At 37.6% G+C, this 14,529-nt stretch overlaps 1 protein-coding gene and 1 long non-coding RNA gene across 11 annotated transcripts in view; one reads left to right on the top strand and one right to left on the bottom strand.

Annotated features, from left to right (window-relative positions):
- CLYBL (citramalyl-CoA lyase) overlaps positions 1 to 14,529 on the bottom strand; it is a 302,755-nt gene that overhangs the window by 32,148 nt on the left and 256,078 nt on the right. For 6 of the 10 annotated variants that reach the window (NR_104592.2, NM_001393356.1, NM_001393359.2 and 3 more), the window contains exons 4-7: positions 14,205 to 14,306; positions 12,386 to 12,479; positions 10,890 to 11,057; positions 6,235 to 6,359 (exon numbers count right to left, since the gene is read on the bottom strand). Coding sequence is in view for 9 of the 10 variants with exons in the window: in NM_001393356.1 (NP_001380285.1) it covers positions 6,235 to 6,359; positions 10,890 to 11,057; positions 12,386 to 12,479; positions 14,205 to 14,306 (489 nt within the window). In the remaining variant the exon portion in view is untranslated. The remainder of the gene's footprint in view (positions 1 to 6,234; positions 6,360 to 10,889; positions 11,058 to 12,385; positions 12,480 to 14,204; positions 14,307 to 14,529) is intronic. The other 4 variants (NM_001393361.1, NM_001393360.1, NM_001393355.1 and 1 more) reach the window with 1 other exon arrangement.
- CLYBL-AS3 (CLYBL antisense RNA 3) overlaps positions 1 to 14,529 on the top strand; it is a 216,296-nt gene that overhangs the window by 79,869 nt on the left and 121,898 nt on the right. The window lies entirely within an intron of this gene.

The following is a 14,529-nucleotide window of genomic DNA, read 5'->3' as shown; positions in this document are numbered from 1 at the left end:
AACAAAATGATCCTCTCCTGGCCATCACTTCGATCTTGCTGCCATAGGCACTGAACACCATGGGGTGTGTGTGGTCACAGGTGTAACTGAGAGTGTGACTCTGGGGACCTGTCCTTTGATGTCCTTGAGATGACACTGGGCTTTGGAGTAAATATGGCCTCTCTGCCAAAGGCTCCCCAGGCTTGCTCTGGGAGTTTCCAATCTATGTTGGGAGACTGAACGACTGATAACTAATGATGTGAAGTGGGGTTTGCAGTGAACAGAGCCTAGAAGGCTTCCTGGGGCAGGGCTGGGGGATGAGGGCAGGGCAGCACTGAGCAGGGAGGCGTGTGGGGAACGGCACGTGGAGACCCTGGTTTCTCTCTTTCCTCATTGGTTTCTGCTTATCCTCAAGAAAAGACATACATTGGAACTACCCAAATCCAGATTTTGATTGTGACTGAGTGCATTTAAGGCTCTATCTCGTTTTGGTCATGAGTGTGGGTATTCACTGTAATATTCAACTGAAGACACATTTATGATATTCCATATCTTTACTTACAAACTAAGCCCTGAATTCTGCTCGCAGCCCTCTCTCCACCTTGGCTGTGAGTGATACTGGGCAGCTTCTGAAGCCTTGCTGGGTTTCTGTGCATTAAGTCATAAACTGAAGGCATCTGACTAAAAGATTTCTGAGATTTCATCCAGCTAAAATAATGACATATTTAAAATCAAAATTGAGCAAATAAAACCCGGAAAAATATGAACCTGGATAAAGAATATTTTGATTAAAATATCCTTAAGAGTGTGTTATAAATTAAGGACAAAGCAAACAATTTAAAACATTGTCCGATTTAATCTACATTAAAAACACTCTTTTTTTTTTTTTTTTTTTTTGAGACGGAGTCTTGTTCTGTCACCCAGGCTGGATTGCAGTGGTGTGATCTTGGCTCACTGCAACCTTTGCCTCCCAGGTTCAAGTGATTCTCCTGCCTCAGCCTCTCAAGTAGCTGGGATTACAGTCACCCGCTACCACACCCAGCTGATTTTTTGTATTTTTGGTAGAGACGGGGTTTTACTATGTTGGCAAGGCTGGTCTCAAACTCCTGACCTTGTGATCTGCCCACCTCGGCCTCTCAAAGTGCTGGGATTACAGGTGTGAACCACTGCACCCGGCCTATTAAAAACACTCTTATCTTCTAATACCAAACCAGCCATTTGCCACTAAAAAAAAAAAAAAAAAAAAAAGTGAAATAGAATATGATATGATTTCAATACTTTGTAGCAATTCATTACTTTGCTTTAAATGTTTAAAATTTCGCAATTTTGTGTTAATCCATCCAATCTTAAAGTCATCATTGGCAGACTCAGATTTTCTAAGAACTGGACTTTTAAAAATCAAAATTATGGCCGATCTTTCTGAAAATGTTAAATGAGCAGGGAAATAAAGAGAAAAGTGCAATTACTAAGAATCTCTAAAACAGAGTTATGTCCCTTTATCTTTCATTTTCACTACAAACCTCTCAGCTCTGATTTTCGTGTTCCTGCTCATAAATCCAGAGGGAAGGCTGTGGGTCGTGGGCTGGATGGGTGTGGGAGGATACACTGTTGTCTAATAGTGGAATCAACCCTTTCAGTTGACAAAGACAACAACCACGTCTTTAGATGGTTTATTTGATCTGCGTGAAAGAGTGGCAGTGGGATTTCTGGCACTTGAATAAGCGGAAACAATATTTTTGGCTAGAGAAACTTCTCCTGAGTTCTCTCAGGGAGGCTTCTAGAAGGCCATCTGGACCAAGCAATATTTCTTTTGTAAAGCCTTGCATTTGGAAACAGAAATGAAAGGTGTGCGAGCAGCAATCAGACACCTATGAAAATGATGGGCTTTCAATATTTTGGGAGGAGGGATGTATTACTGTTTGTAAAGTTTCTAGATGAAGAGACTTACATAAGGAAAAAAACTCTTACTTTCCTTTTTCTTTCTTTATTAAGAGATGTTTCCAGTTTATATTCCAGCAGAAGATGTGCTTACTAATGTGAACTTATCAGCTTGCACTGTTTTTCTCTCCTGAGTGAAATGAGAATGTTGGTTGCGTGATGCTTACAGTTGTTAGGCCAGGTAGTGATCTTGTTTCTGACATTTGTAATTGTTAATTGAACCTAGAATTTAAAGATGAATACTTCCCCTTCCTCAGTCTTTAGCCAACTTGTGAAGCTATAACGAAGGAGAAATATTGAAAAAGCCAAACAAAATCCTTCCAAAACCAAACAAAGCACGTACAGCCATGATATGAATCAAAGAGAATGTCTGGAAAACTGAAAATGAAGCAAAGCCATATTTGTAGCCAGATACTGCAAAATATGAATATTCTAGCAGAGTATCTTTAAAATTTTGACACACGTAATATATTGTGCTATTCCTTCGCATTCTTCTGTTAGAGTCTCCATTTGGAAAGAAATAGTAAATTCCTATATTAACATTTCCTGTGATTAGTGACTGTTTTAAAAAAGCAACTGACTGTTTCCTTTAGCTGTCATTTTTGCCTAAGAGTGATGAATATGGAAAGATAAAAACTTTAGCACTAAGCTCATAATATAGATTTGAGGAAATACACGTTATCATACATACTTGAATGTTTATATGTTGTATAAACATGTATGCTATATGTGTTTATATAAAATTATTTCTATTGATATCAATATTAGATGATTATTTGCTTGAGATGTTTTCAAGTATCCAATTTTTACAGTATATAAAATTCTTTATTGATAAAAAAGAACTGTTGAAATCCTATTACTTTAATAAGCATATTAAATTCAGTTCTGAATGAAGAATTTTCAAATATTAATGGAATCACCATTATTATAAAAAAAGACATAAAAATGGAATTAACTTTTAAGAAAATCCTTTATAAATTTAAAACAAATCATGTGGAAATGATTTATCCTGCCTAAAGCATTTTACCAAATAATTTGAAACTAAAATAATTAATGGTATGCACGTTGTATCTCAAAAAACATTTTTCTGGAAGGATGGAAGAAAGTCAGTTTGATTAATATTGTGGATGGAAACCTTACAGCTGATGTCAGCTAAATTAAAAACATTTTAGTTTCTGGGAATTAACATAGGAGCAGAGATTATTTGGAATCTTTAAACTTTTTCCAACAGATTTTAATAAGATAAGATAACCTAGAGTCCCCAGTGTCAGTCTCTAGCCCTAACTCTGATTACTGGACTACGGTGCCAAGCAAAATTTTTTAGCCTGAAAATATCTTTCAGTTTCCTGAAACAAAGCAGCCACAAGAATCGCTGCCTGCCAAACAGGGACAGATGATATGAGCTGATTGTTATTTGTTTTAATGTAAAGTGATTGTCAACCAACATTATACCAAGGACACCAAACTTTATTTCCTTAGGACTTTTAATTAAAATAAACATCCCCAAAATTCTGTAATACCAAAGTCTGAACTCCAATAATTTATCTGCTCATGGTCTAAGTAGTCCCATGAATTTTGCCATTTGGACAGGACAGGAAGAAAGGGTAGAGCTTTTATGTTTGAATAATAGTAATGATTATTACTATAGAAAACACAAATGGCTCAGCACTAACTGTGAACTTCAGCTATACCTTTATGTTTGGCTAACTGTGAACTTCAGCTATACCTTTATGTTTGGGCAGGATATAATTTAAGATGAGAGCAGGAAGAAGTGCAGAAAAGCAAAGATACATAATTTTTCCTTCTTGGGTCATTTCTACTTAAAAGCATTACTTGAATGAAATTTTCATCAGAGGGAGGAAAAAGGTCTTTTGGAAATTTGTGACTGTCACACTAGGACACAAACCATCAGTTTCCTATCTTTGAGAGAGTCATCTGTGCTTTGGACAAAATATCTGAGGGTTCACGTGTTCATCAGTGATTCACATTTGACATAAAACAGACTAGATGTTTGTTGGAAGCAATACTTTATATAATTGTGCAACCTATTTACACAAAATCTTTACAAACAGAACCCACATTATTTAAACCCCAAGATCCCCTCAAGATCCAGAGTCACCTACCTGCAGATCCAATTTCTGTGACCGGCCAGTTTATAGGCAAAGTGAAAGAAACATGCTAACTGGATAAAATAACCATATGTCCCTACTGGAAGCCCCATTACTTGAATCATTTCAACCTTGCTGGACAAAACACCAGGAGAATTTGCTATAGGAAACAAACCTCCACAAATGGGGCAGGGAAGAAATTACCTAATAGTTAGTCTCCCCTCTGCTCTAATTTCTATGGTTCTGTGTTAAGAAAAGCCATCCTGCCACACTGTTGTGAGAGCTTATGCCCCAACGAGAGGGCATTTCTTATTTAAAAAAAAAAAAAGTCCAGAATTGAACATTTAAGTTGCCATCATCAAAAGGTGTGAAAACTTTGGGAGCGTTTTCCCAGGGAACAACGCTTTTCAAGATACAATGGAAAAGGGCCATTTTCCTCATTCAAAAACTTAAATGCTGAGCAAAGCAAGTGTTTCTGGTTTGACTTCTGTTTGTTGGCTACTGAAATTCAGGGTAAACTCTCCCACACCCCTATCTGCTTACAATGCCAACTGCCCTCCTTTGATGCTACCCAATGTGAAACCCAGCTGGGATGGGTCATAGACACAGTGCTGGCCCAGACTGGAACTCTGCTCTCTCGTTTCAATGGTCCACATGCTGCCTCAGTTTCCTATTTCACCAGGAGGTGTTTATGACATGCCTGTCCTCAGCTGGCACAAGGCTTGTAGCAGAGGTATAGAGCATTCGGTGTGGGTATGCGTGGGCAGGTATGCAAGGGAAGGGGATGGATGGACATGTGAATGAGAGTCCGTGGCTCTTCGTTCTAGGTGAATAGATTTACTCATGGGAATCTTGATCTGGGGTTAAGACACAAAAATGGACACTAAACACAAGGTCAACTTAAAATATTGTTTCTATGAAATGCATTACTTTTCTGATGGCCACTGTTGATGGGAAATGGAAAGATGCTATTTATCATGAAATTGGTGTAAGTCCAAATTGGGTATTTCCAACGTAATATATTCTGCCTTTGGAGATTAAGTGTGAGTTTGTACAAAGATGAGCCTGCTGGTGTGTGAGTGTGCCCATGTGTGCATGGGTTGAATGTGGACATCCTTAGGGAATGACCCATTTAATATTGTTGCCCACTTTGGCAAGTCCTGGGATTTTCAGGTGTCCTTGCTGCCAGTGAAAAGTGCGAGGGACATGTCTCACATGGATGTCACAGGTTCAGGGTCACCACTAAAAACCAGTTTTTCTTTTTCTTTTTTTTTTTTTTTTGCAGGGGGGAATGTTTAATATTCAGAACTGTAATAAATTTTCAATATTCTTTCTCCTAAGTAATTTTGCATTATAGGTATCAAAACTTTACTCCTTCTGGAAGTCACAGGCTGAGTTTAGAGATTACCTCTAGGATAGATTTATAAATGTAACTTTCCCTCCTATCCTCTTAAAAAGAGGCAAACGGTATTATTGCAAATAACCTTTAAGATAATTAACTGACAATGCTGCAACTAGCATAAAATCTTCCTTCAGGCGACACCTAATTTAAGTGTTACTGGCACAAAGTGGAGACAGATTGTGCATTACCACTGCAATATTTACATAGCAGAAACCCACAGAGCAGGAAACGCGAGGCTCAATGATGCACTAAATTAGGAACAACCGTACTCCAGTGTTAATTTGCTTTCCATTCCATCCAAATCTCAGGTCCAGAAATTGGTACAAACACATATACAACCTCCCACTCTTAAATGACTAAACCGGAGGAGATTTCTGTACTTTTTTCCCCCCAAATTAAAATAACTTGCAATTTATTTCTTTCCTCCACAAGAACCATTTAGTCAAACTGTGTTTATTTCATTACAACTTGTTCTCACTTTGATCTAGGATTATTTTCATATGAATGCTGCATAGAAGTCTGTAGAGAAAAACTAAACAGACTTCTATTTTCTCTAAGGCTGCCAATATATTTTATGAAAAGAATAAAATGAGGGACTTGAGAGCCAGTTAGTGAAGTATTTAGGAACATGGGCAGGGCAAATCTATCTCAAGCAATTTTCTCACTGGTGAATGTTGTGTTCCCTCCCTTTCCCCCCTCTCCAGATACGATGAGTTTTCTTAAACCATTCACACAACATATTTGTTTCATTCTTCCCGACAATATTTTCAATACTGCTCTCACCCAAGGCATTAACAAAACATTTACCTTTCCTAATTGTTGATGTTCTTTAAAGGCAGCAATCAGTTCTTCAGCCCACTTAATTTTTTCAGGGGAAGGAGAAAACTGCTCCTGGACCACGGCAATTTGGTTAGGGTGAATCACCTGCTTACCTACAAGAATATTAATAACATCGGAACCACGAAACAACGAACAGATGTTCAAACAAAATGTTTCTATCGCGTGAGGTTCCTGAAGGCCTCATAGACTGTATGTTAAATAACTAATTTAAAACTTTTTATTGAGTAAACAAAACAAAACAAACAAAACCTGCAATCAGACAGGCTTTTCCAGAATACCACAGAAGCACAACTACAACAATGGAAGTAATTGTGTTTCCGATCCTATAGAAATGCCACCTTAGGGCAGATAATCTCTTATTTTTAGTTACAGGTGGGCTGACTAGGCAGCTTGTTGAATAACTGCTTTGGCTGGGACTTTAAAGGATAATGTCTGCAAATTAGAGGGATTATTTTGAGTTGAAGTAGAAAAAAATTAAATGAGAATTCTCTCAAATTTTATAAGGTGTCTTTTGCTTTCTTTGTAGAATTATACCTCTTTCCATGATTTCTCTTAGAAATGGTCTGCTGGTTTTCATAAAGCTTACAGAGGCAGTCATTACAACTATATTACTATCAAATACAGCTTTACAATAGTATATTTAATTGTTTTTCTTTTAAATGAACAGTTTATGTGTCAATTCTAACCCCCAATAGAAAATTGGATTTGAATGAAAATATTTTATTCAGTATGGTAAAATAGAAGGCAGATTTGAACACTGCAGCCTTAGATTACTCCATTTAAAAATTAAAAAATAAATACTTAAAGTTTCTCTGTCCAAAAATATACCCAGATTTTCCCTTTTGGCTTATAGAATCAAGACTGGGTATTTCCCTCTTTATAGCACCCTACATATCCCAGAAGAAATCTTATCTCTGTAGAAATACCTTCCAAAAAGATTTATGATTCTTTTTATAGTTGAAAGATTTTAAATGAAAACATCACACAAAGATAAGAGCCACAGGATTTTGTGAAATAATGCAGTCATTAAAAAAACAATTTAACAATCAGGGAAGTGTAGAATCCAATCAGATCATTAATAAAATGCAACATAATTTAATGTTATAATAATGATGAGATTATATTGTTACGTGATAAAGTTATGAACATAATTGGCTCTTTAAAAATGAATGTACACTTAATGATCATTTACTCTGCTGAATATATTTGTTGGTATATCAGTTTGCTTTGCTTTTGAAATAGTTATTTTAACATTTAGACAGTAGAAATTATATCCTTGATGTTTTATATCCTTGCTGTCAATTCCTATTGTCATTATTCTATTAGAATGAAAAAAGGAATGATGCTTGTAAAAACATATTTTTAGTGTTTCATGTAAAAGAGTTTAAGTGGATAAATATAATAATATCTTTTCTTTCCAATGGCATAATTAAAACATCCTCACATTGCTATTTCATTCTTTTCTGTCAGCATACTAATAAAATGTTAAACACTTATATAAGTAAAGATTCCTTAAATTACCTGAGGAATAATTTCTGGGAACGAATAACATGAGGGATGACAAGAGGGCTTTTTTCGGTAGTAGGTATCGAGATTATATTTAAGTAATTTAATAGTTGTCGGGATATTGTTAATAAAGGATGTCAGTTCTGGTAGTCATTTCCTCCTAATTGTTAGCCCTGAATTTCATAATTTATGTACATAATTTACACCAATGCGTAAAAAGCCAGATTTCATGGGAACTTCTTGGTACATGCACTATAATTTGAGGAGCAAAACATAAACTACTTAAAATACTGTGAAATCACTGCTAGCTCTCCATCCTCCAGTACCTATATTTGGGCAATGAGGCTAATTTTAAGATACATGTTAGGTTTTAGAAATGTGTGAACGTTCATATGTGAAGTTCTCTTTTGTCACATCTTATATATTCCAACAACTGTATAGCAGACTTTAATGGCATGTGGGAACCAGGCAAATATTTTATACAAAAGAGTTGTTATTGACAAGTTACTGAGAGGGTGCAAAATTGGAAGACATTAAAATTTATGACCATGAAATCCTTTTTACAGTACCGCTTGATATATCGTGCTTTAAATCAATACCTGTCAAGTCTTTTAGGTAACTGTATGATGGTGTCATTTTTGTCTTCTACAATAGACTGCAAAAAAGAAGAAAACCTATAGTGCTTCATATTTATAATCTTTCTTCTCAGCATGTAGCACTGGAGTAACTGTAATGACTAAGTCAGCTGTTAAAGCTTTATTCCAAGATTTAGTTTTGGTTTCTTTTTTATAAAAAATTTCCTAAAGTTAATGGCCATTTATACAGCCAATGCATTGATTTAAAATCAATCGACATGGACTGTGACTCTGGGAAACGACCGCAGAAAAGAAACTACAGCTAACTTTTAAAAACTACAACTCATTAAAAATATGTATCATTTTTAAAAGTAAAGGCAATCCTTATAGCACAGACTTAGTCTTCCTTACCAGCGTTATGGATAACACAATACTTTCATTGGATTTTAAACCTTTCAACCACCTGCTTCAGATAAGACATGTCTTCCTTCCTCCATCCCTCCCTCTCTCCTCCCCACTTTTCCTTTCCTTTTTTTTCTTTCCTTCTTTTTCTTCTCCTTGTGCAAGGCCCAAGGTATGGCAATCAAATGCCAAACAACTAGGACAAACATCCTGAGTGGTCTAAAGTACTCATTAAAAAACATTTATTTAAAAAATGACTACAAATAATCTATCTTATTATCAGATTGATTACCTCTTATTGGTATGCAGAAATATAATTGGGGCAACAAAGACTTTCTAAAAATTGCAAACTGCCTACGAAGTGTGGCTCCCTAGTTATGGCCTCGTTCCCTTGAATATATAATGGGCACTGTGCCCTCTGTGCCTTCCCATTATCCTCGCTTCCCCCCTTTTTTTTTAGCGATTTAATACTCCCCGTCGTGGAGAAACAATAGTGCCAGGTCCATAAGCTTCTCGTGCTGAGCTGGGCACAGTCTAGAAATTTAAACCTGATTTGAAATAGCCTGTCTTCTGCGATTGAATTAGGGGCCAAGTTAATTCAGTCCTGTATCTTGGAGACACTCTCCAGCTCCCAGAGAAGTTCTGGGGCAAACATTTACCCCAGAGGAGGCAGAGGAAACTCAGATTCTGCTGGGTGATGGTGGAGGGGCCAGTGTCGATGCAGTGCTTTCTCTTTTTTATCGAATTAGTTCCCATTTCAGAGCAACATCTGGCCACCTGGCAGCCAGTGCCATACATTGCAGGCCAACAACATCAGGGTCTATTAGATAAATTTCATGGAGTTTTTCTCCAACTTTTCCATTTGGGTCACATCCTAACCAGCCGTTGGAAAGAGGCAGGAACAAGCACAATTGCATGGATGTGGCAGAGGACTCCTTTCTTCCTCAGTCGCTATGAAACGCAGGGAGAATTCGTTTATTAATAGTTCAGATAATTGAAGAGTATTTCCCTATACGAGATCACACTTATTTAAAAAATTGGGGGGGGTCATATTTATTTTAGCTCTTTGTGTAAAAAACACAAGAACAAACTCAGAGCTTTATTTAATTTGAATATAACACTAGAATAGCTTCTTAGGTCATTCAGTTTTATTTTGGACTAAATCATCATCCATTAAGATATTTTTCACGTTTAAGCCTGCTTTATGAAACCTTTCTTTCGGTAACCGCTACCTAGATATATTTCAAAAACAGTTATAACAGGAATATCAGGATGCTCGTCTCTTTTCCTAATTATTCGGGTGCCTTTCTGATATTAATATTCTTAGAACTTTCAACAACAGAAGAACAGGTAAGAGTGAAGGAGTGCACTGTGTTTTTCCCATGGTTGTCAGTTTGTGTGTGTGCAACTCCATGTGTATGTTTGTGTGTAGACTCCTATTGTGGTTTTTCGAAAAATAGATCTCTGTTGTAAAAACACAATTTTCTGTTGCTCCCCTGGCTCATGGGGACCTGAGTGACCAGGCACACCAATCAACAGATACCCGCCTGTGCCCCAGACCGGACTGCAAGGGACCCGCTGATCCTAGTGCCAGCCTATGCCCGTAGGTGTCGCCAGGTACACGGACACTTACTGGGAGGTGGGAGAGAGAGGAGGGGCTTGGAGTGGCAGAAGAGCAAAAAACTAGTTATGAGTAAAAAACAAAACAAAAACCAAAGACAATATCACCAACATTTTTTTTCAGAAATGAATTAAATTTTGGATATTCTAGGAGATTTTTCTTCTGTCCATCAACCAAAATTCTTATGGCGGTTCACTCAAAAACACTTTTTGAGCAGCCTCATCCCTCCCTACAGGTCAGCCAAGACTACAACAAAATGATTAAGAGGATGGAGAGAAAAAAAAAAAAGCAACTAATATAAAGAGGAAATAAAATGAGTGATTTGTTGACTTGCAGGGCCAAGGAAAACCATGACAATGTGTCTGGCAAGTTCTTCCCCTGTGTGACTTGCTCATATTTCAAATAGTGGAGTAAGTATGGGAGATATCTGATGAGATTAGGGGTGTTTTCGGGTCAAATTTCTATTTTTCTGGAATGCTTGCTAATTTAGACACTGCTTTCTAAGACAGGAATCATACCAGTGAAGCCCATGGCGGCTCCTTCTCGTGACTGTCTAAGCAGCCCAGCTCCATCTCGAAAGTCAATGTACACCAGATCTATGGCTTGGAGACCAAAGGCTTTCGCTATGACAACAATCTTTTGCCGGGCGTAGAGAATATCCAGGGTTTCTTTACTACTTGTTGCACCTGAAAATGGGATGTTAACAGAAAAAGGAGGCTTTAACTTTGGAAACCGCACCCAGATATTTATTATAAAACCTCAGTTTGTACAGATATCTAAACCTCCCTGGAAATTGCTCCTCCGCAAAATAAAATTATTGAAATACAAATGAAGACAGGGACGCGTGGAGGCCAAGTTAAACCTCGAATGTGTCTGTTTAACTGACAAGGCATCTTTCAATAGAATTACTTCTACCTGCATTAAGAGAAGGCCCCTTCCCCATTCTGGGAGGCTGGGTCAGGGTCGCAAGGGACTCCTGATATATTTTTTTCCTTCTTATCATCGCTTGAAAAGTGCCAGTCCAAAGACAGCACCACAAAGGGTGGCCCAGCAGCTATGCAGGGCAATGGTTCGTGTTTCACAGCAAGCACAGAACTGTGTGTGCTGCGATTGCCCTGTCCAAACTGAAGTTCTGAGCCAAATGCTTCAGCTTCAGGGTCTGTCTGGATGGAGAACTTGGGGAGACGGGAGGGCACTTGTTTTGAGAGGGCTGGAAAGCATCGATATGCCTTCTGTAGCCCGCTGAACCGTTGGATACACAAGTCTCCTGGAAAGACTCGTATTCAAATAAATTCAGTTTTTTCACCCTGAGGGGAGGGAAGTGTCCCTGTTTACATTTGGAACATGCCACTCCCTGCCTAGGGAAAGTGCCTGTCTTCAGGTCACTGGGGCTGGTTTCTGTGGCCTCGGCCTCTTTTCTAAATGCTTCACGGTCTCCAGTCAAACATGCAGACCCCTCAAGTGCAGCTCACAAGGGATGGTGAGAATCGGTGAAAATCAGCACATTTAATACTAAGAGTTCGAAACATATTGTAAGAGAAATTTAAGATCCATTTAAAATAATATTTACCTACCGCATATTCTGTAGAAAACAATTCATTAAGGCAAATGTGAAATTGCCTTAAATTTGCGTTAGAAATCTAGACAGCCCACAGACTGATATGAAAACAAAATACTGAAGCAACGGTGAGGCTGTTCACATAATATATTTATTAGGAGCAAAGGAGATGCCATATATTCCTGAGCATGCCTGGGGCTGCAACAGGCTTTCTATTGCTCGTGTCTTTTATAAATGAACAGAAGTAATAATGCAGTGCTCTAGAAGCAGGGCAGCTATGAGGAGCCCTAAATTATCAGGAAGTAGTGTCCATTCCATTGTCATGAAAAACCATTGTCATGGTTGGCAAATATACATTGTTATGTAAATGTCCATCCTTGAGGGGCAAAGAAAAAATATATACACACATATACACACACACACACAGAAAAAGAGAGAGAGAGATGTCTTTGACACCTATGCTGGCTCGAAAGTCTTCTCCTCCAAAAACGACTGCATCTAGAAAGAGACCTACTTGAGGCCCGACCTTCAGGGTTTCTTCACACACTGCCTGTAAAAGAGCAGAACAGAACTAAGTCTCACGGAAACGCGTGCGTCAGAGGGAAGAGGCACGGTGCATTTCAGTAACAGGACGACCTGACTCTTAACACAGTTTGGCTGAAAGCAGTCCTAAAAACGCAGCCCAAATTTACCCCTTTCAAAAGGTATTTAATATCATCCAAGATAAGTATATTGTATATATTTGCTTTGTTTAATGGATTATATGAATATAGTTATAATGTTCAAATTGTAGTTCATCTCATTTTTGGAGAAACTTTGAGTTAACTCATTTTGCTTGCACTATAAGTTATTTATATCTTTCCAGAATTCGTTTTTGCTTTAAGAGACTCTCGTAAAACCACAGGGGAGAAGGAAGGAATTTTAAAATCAAACTAATTGAATTATTTGCATTAGGATCAAGCACATGGTCTCAGGATTAAAGACAGCACAAAAACCTGCAACTCCGGAGGGGAAAATAAAAATGCAACAAGTCATCCAAGATGTGTTCATAAAGCAACTTCGACATTTATATATGAAAGTCAAGGCAAATACCATTCGTCGTAGACATAACCGTGAATCTTGAAAGGTGGAGATATAACCTGCTAATAATATACGTGGGTGGGAAAGAAACGAGGAACCGGTGGGGACACTGTTGATTAATTTCAGACATTGTAAGTGCTTCTAAGTACATTATGGAATAAAATGGCGAAGCAGTGCTTAAAATTAAATCACTGGATGAATCTGGTTGCATCTTAGGGATATGCTTTTGATTATATTCTCAGGATTCTGGGGCTGGCTGGAAGAATGTATGGTTAGTTGTGTAAACAAGCTGCTCACAGGACAAGGTTTGAAGCAGGTCCCCAAACATTTGCACTCGACCCCTTCTGCACATCCCAAGGCCTCAAAGTTGCCGCTCACACATTCTCTCTCCAGTACAGTTCGACTATGTTTTTTCTGTTGTTTTTAGTGATTTCTTTTCTCCTGCCCTCTGTGGGGGCTGGGGTGGGGGAAGGGAATCTAGGAACTCTGAAAGGGGGTGCTAGATTGATGTTCGCAGGTCAGGTGGAATGAGAGGCATATTTTGGAAAATAATATAAATGCCCCCTGATAAACGAGAAAAAACGAGCTAGCTCTGAATTTGTTAAGACCGGTAGTTTAGTGCAACCACACAACGGCTGAAAACACTTGGCTCAGCCAATATTCCCGCATGTATATTAGAAGATATTCTAATGTGGCAAACTGAAAAACTGTACTGCAAATTATTTGTGTGCATGAACTTACAAACAATAATCTTCTCTGCTAGACATTACTGATAATGTTGCTACAGAGAGGGCAGAACATTTCCCACTGAAAAGACATTTGATAGAAAAGAACATTTCAAAGTTAATTCATAAGGGTGACAAATTTTCATGTACATTTAGTCTATAAATGCAATAATTCAAAGCATATAATTACACAGTGATTAGTTAAAATTGTTACTAGGAATATACAAATGCTTCATTTAAATATTTTGGACTGGGAAGCTTTTCCTTCTACCTAACTGATTTCATTGTTTTCTAAGATGCTGGCAACCTGGTTTTTGGACTATTACAGATAACAAATGGTGCTCAACATTTCCTTTGCTTATAAATCTTTCTAGAAACACATTTTAAGAAGATGTTAAAATTGAAAGCAAAAGTTCTCTTTAGGTGATAAATAAAATGCTAACTTATTAACCGTATTATGGCTTCCTTACCTTAAAATTGAGCAAACCCATTGCAGTTTCCACAAAAGGGATTAAATTCATTGGTTGTTCAAGTTTTCGGCCTTTTAAGTGGAATGAAAATTTGTCTGCAAACTAAAATCAGAAGTGTCATAGGTGATTAGTGGGGAAAAAATGTACAATCACGGAAATGTAGACCCAGAAGTAGTATTTAAGTCTTTGACCTGAGGAAGTAATATCCAAGCCTCTTTCGTCCACACAAAAGAATTTTTTTAAAAAAATAAGAAGAAAGTCCAAAGAAAAAGGTAATGAAGTTCCCACCAAACTAAATAGTAAAATCCTAAGCATTACAATTTTT

This window comes from Homo sapiens, chromosome 13 (assembly GCF_000001405.40).
Source record: "Homo sapiens chromosome 13, GRCh38.p14 Primary Assembly".
Lineage (NCBI taxonomy): Eukaryota > Metazoa > Chordata > Mammalia > Primates > Hominidae > Homo > Homo sapiens.
Note: the sequence above shows the minus strand (reverse complement) of the source record. Positions and strands in the feature narration are given on the sequence as shown.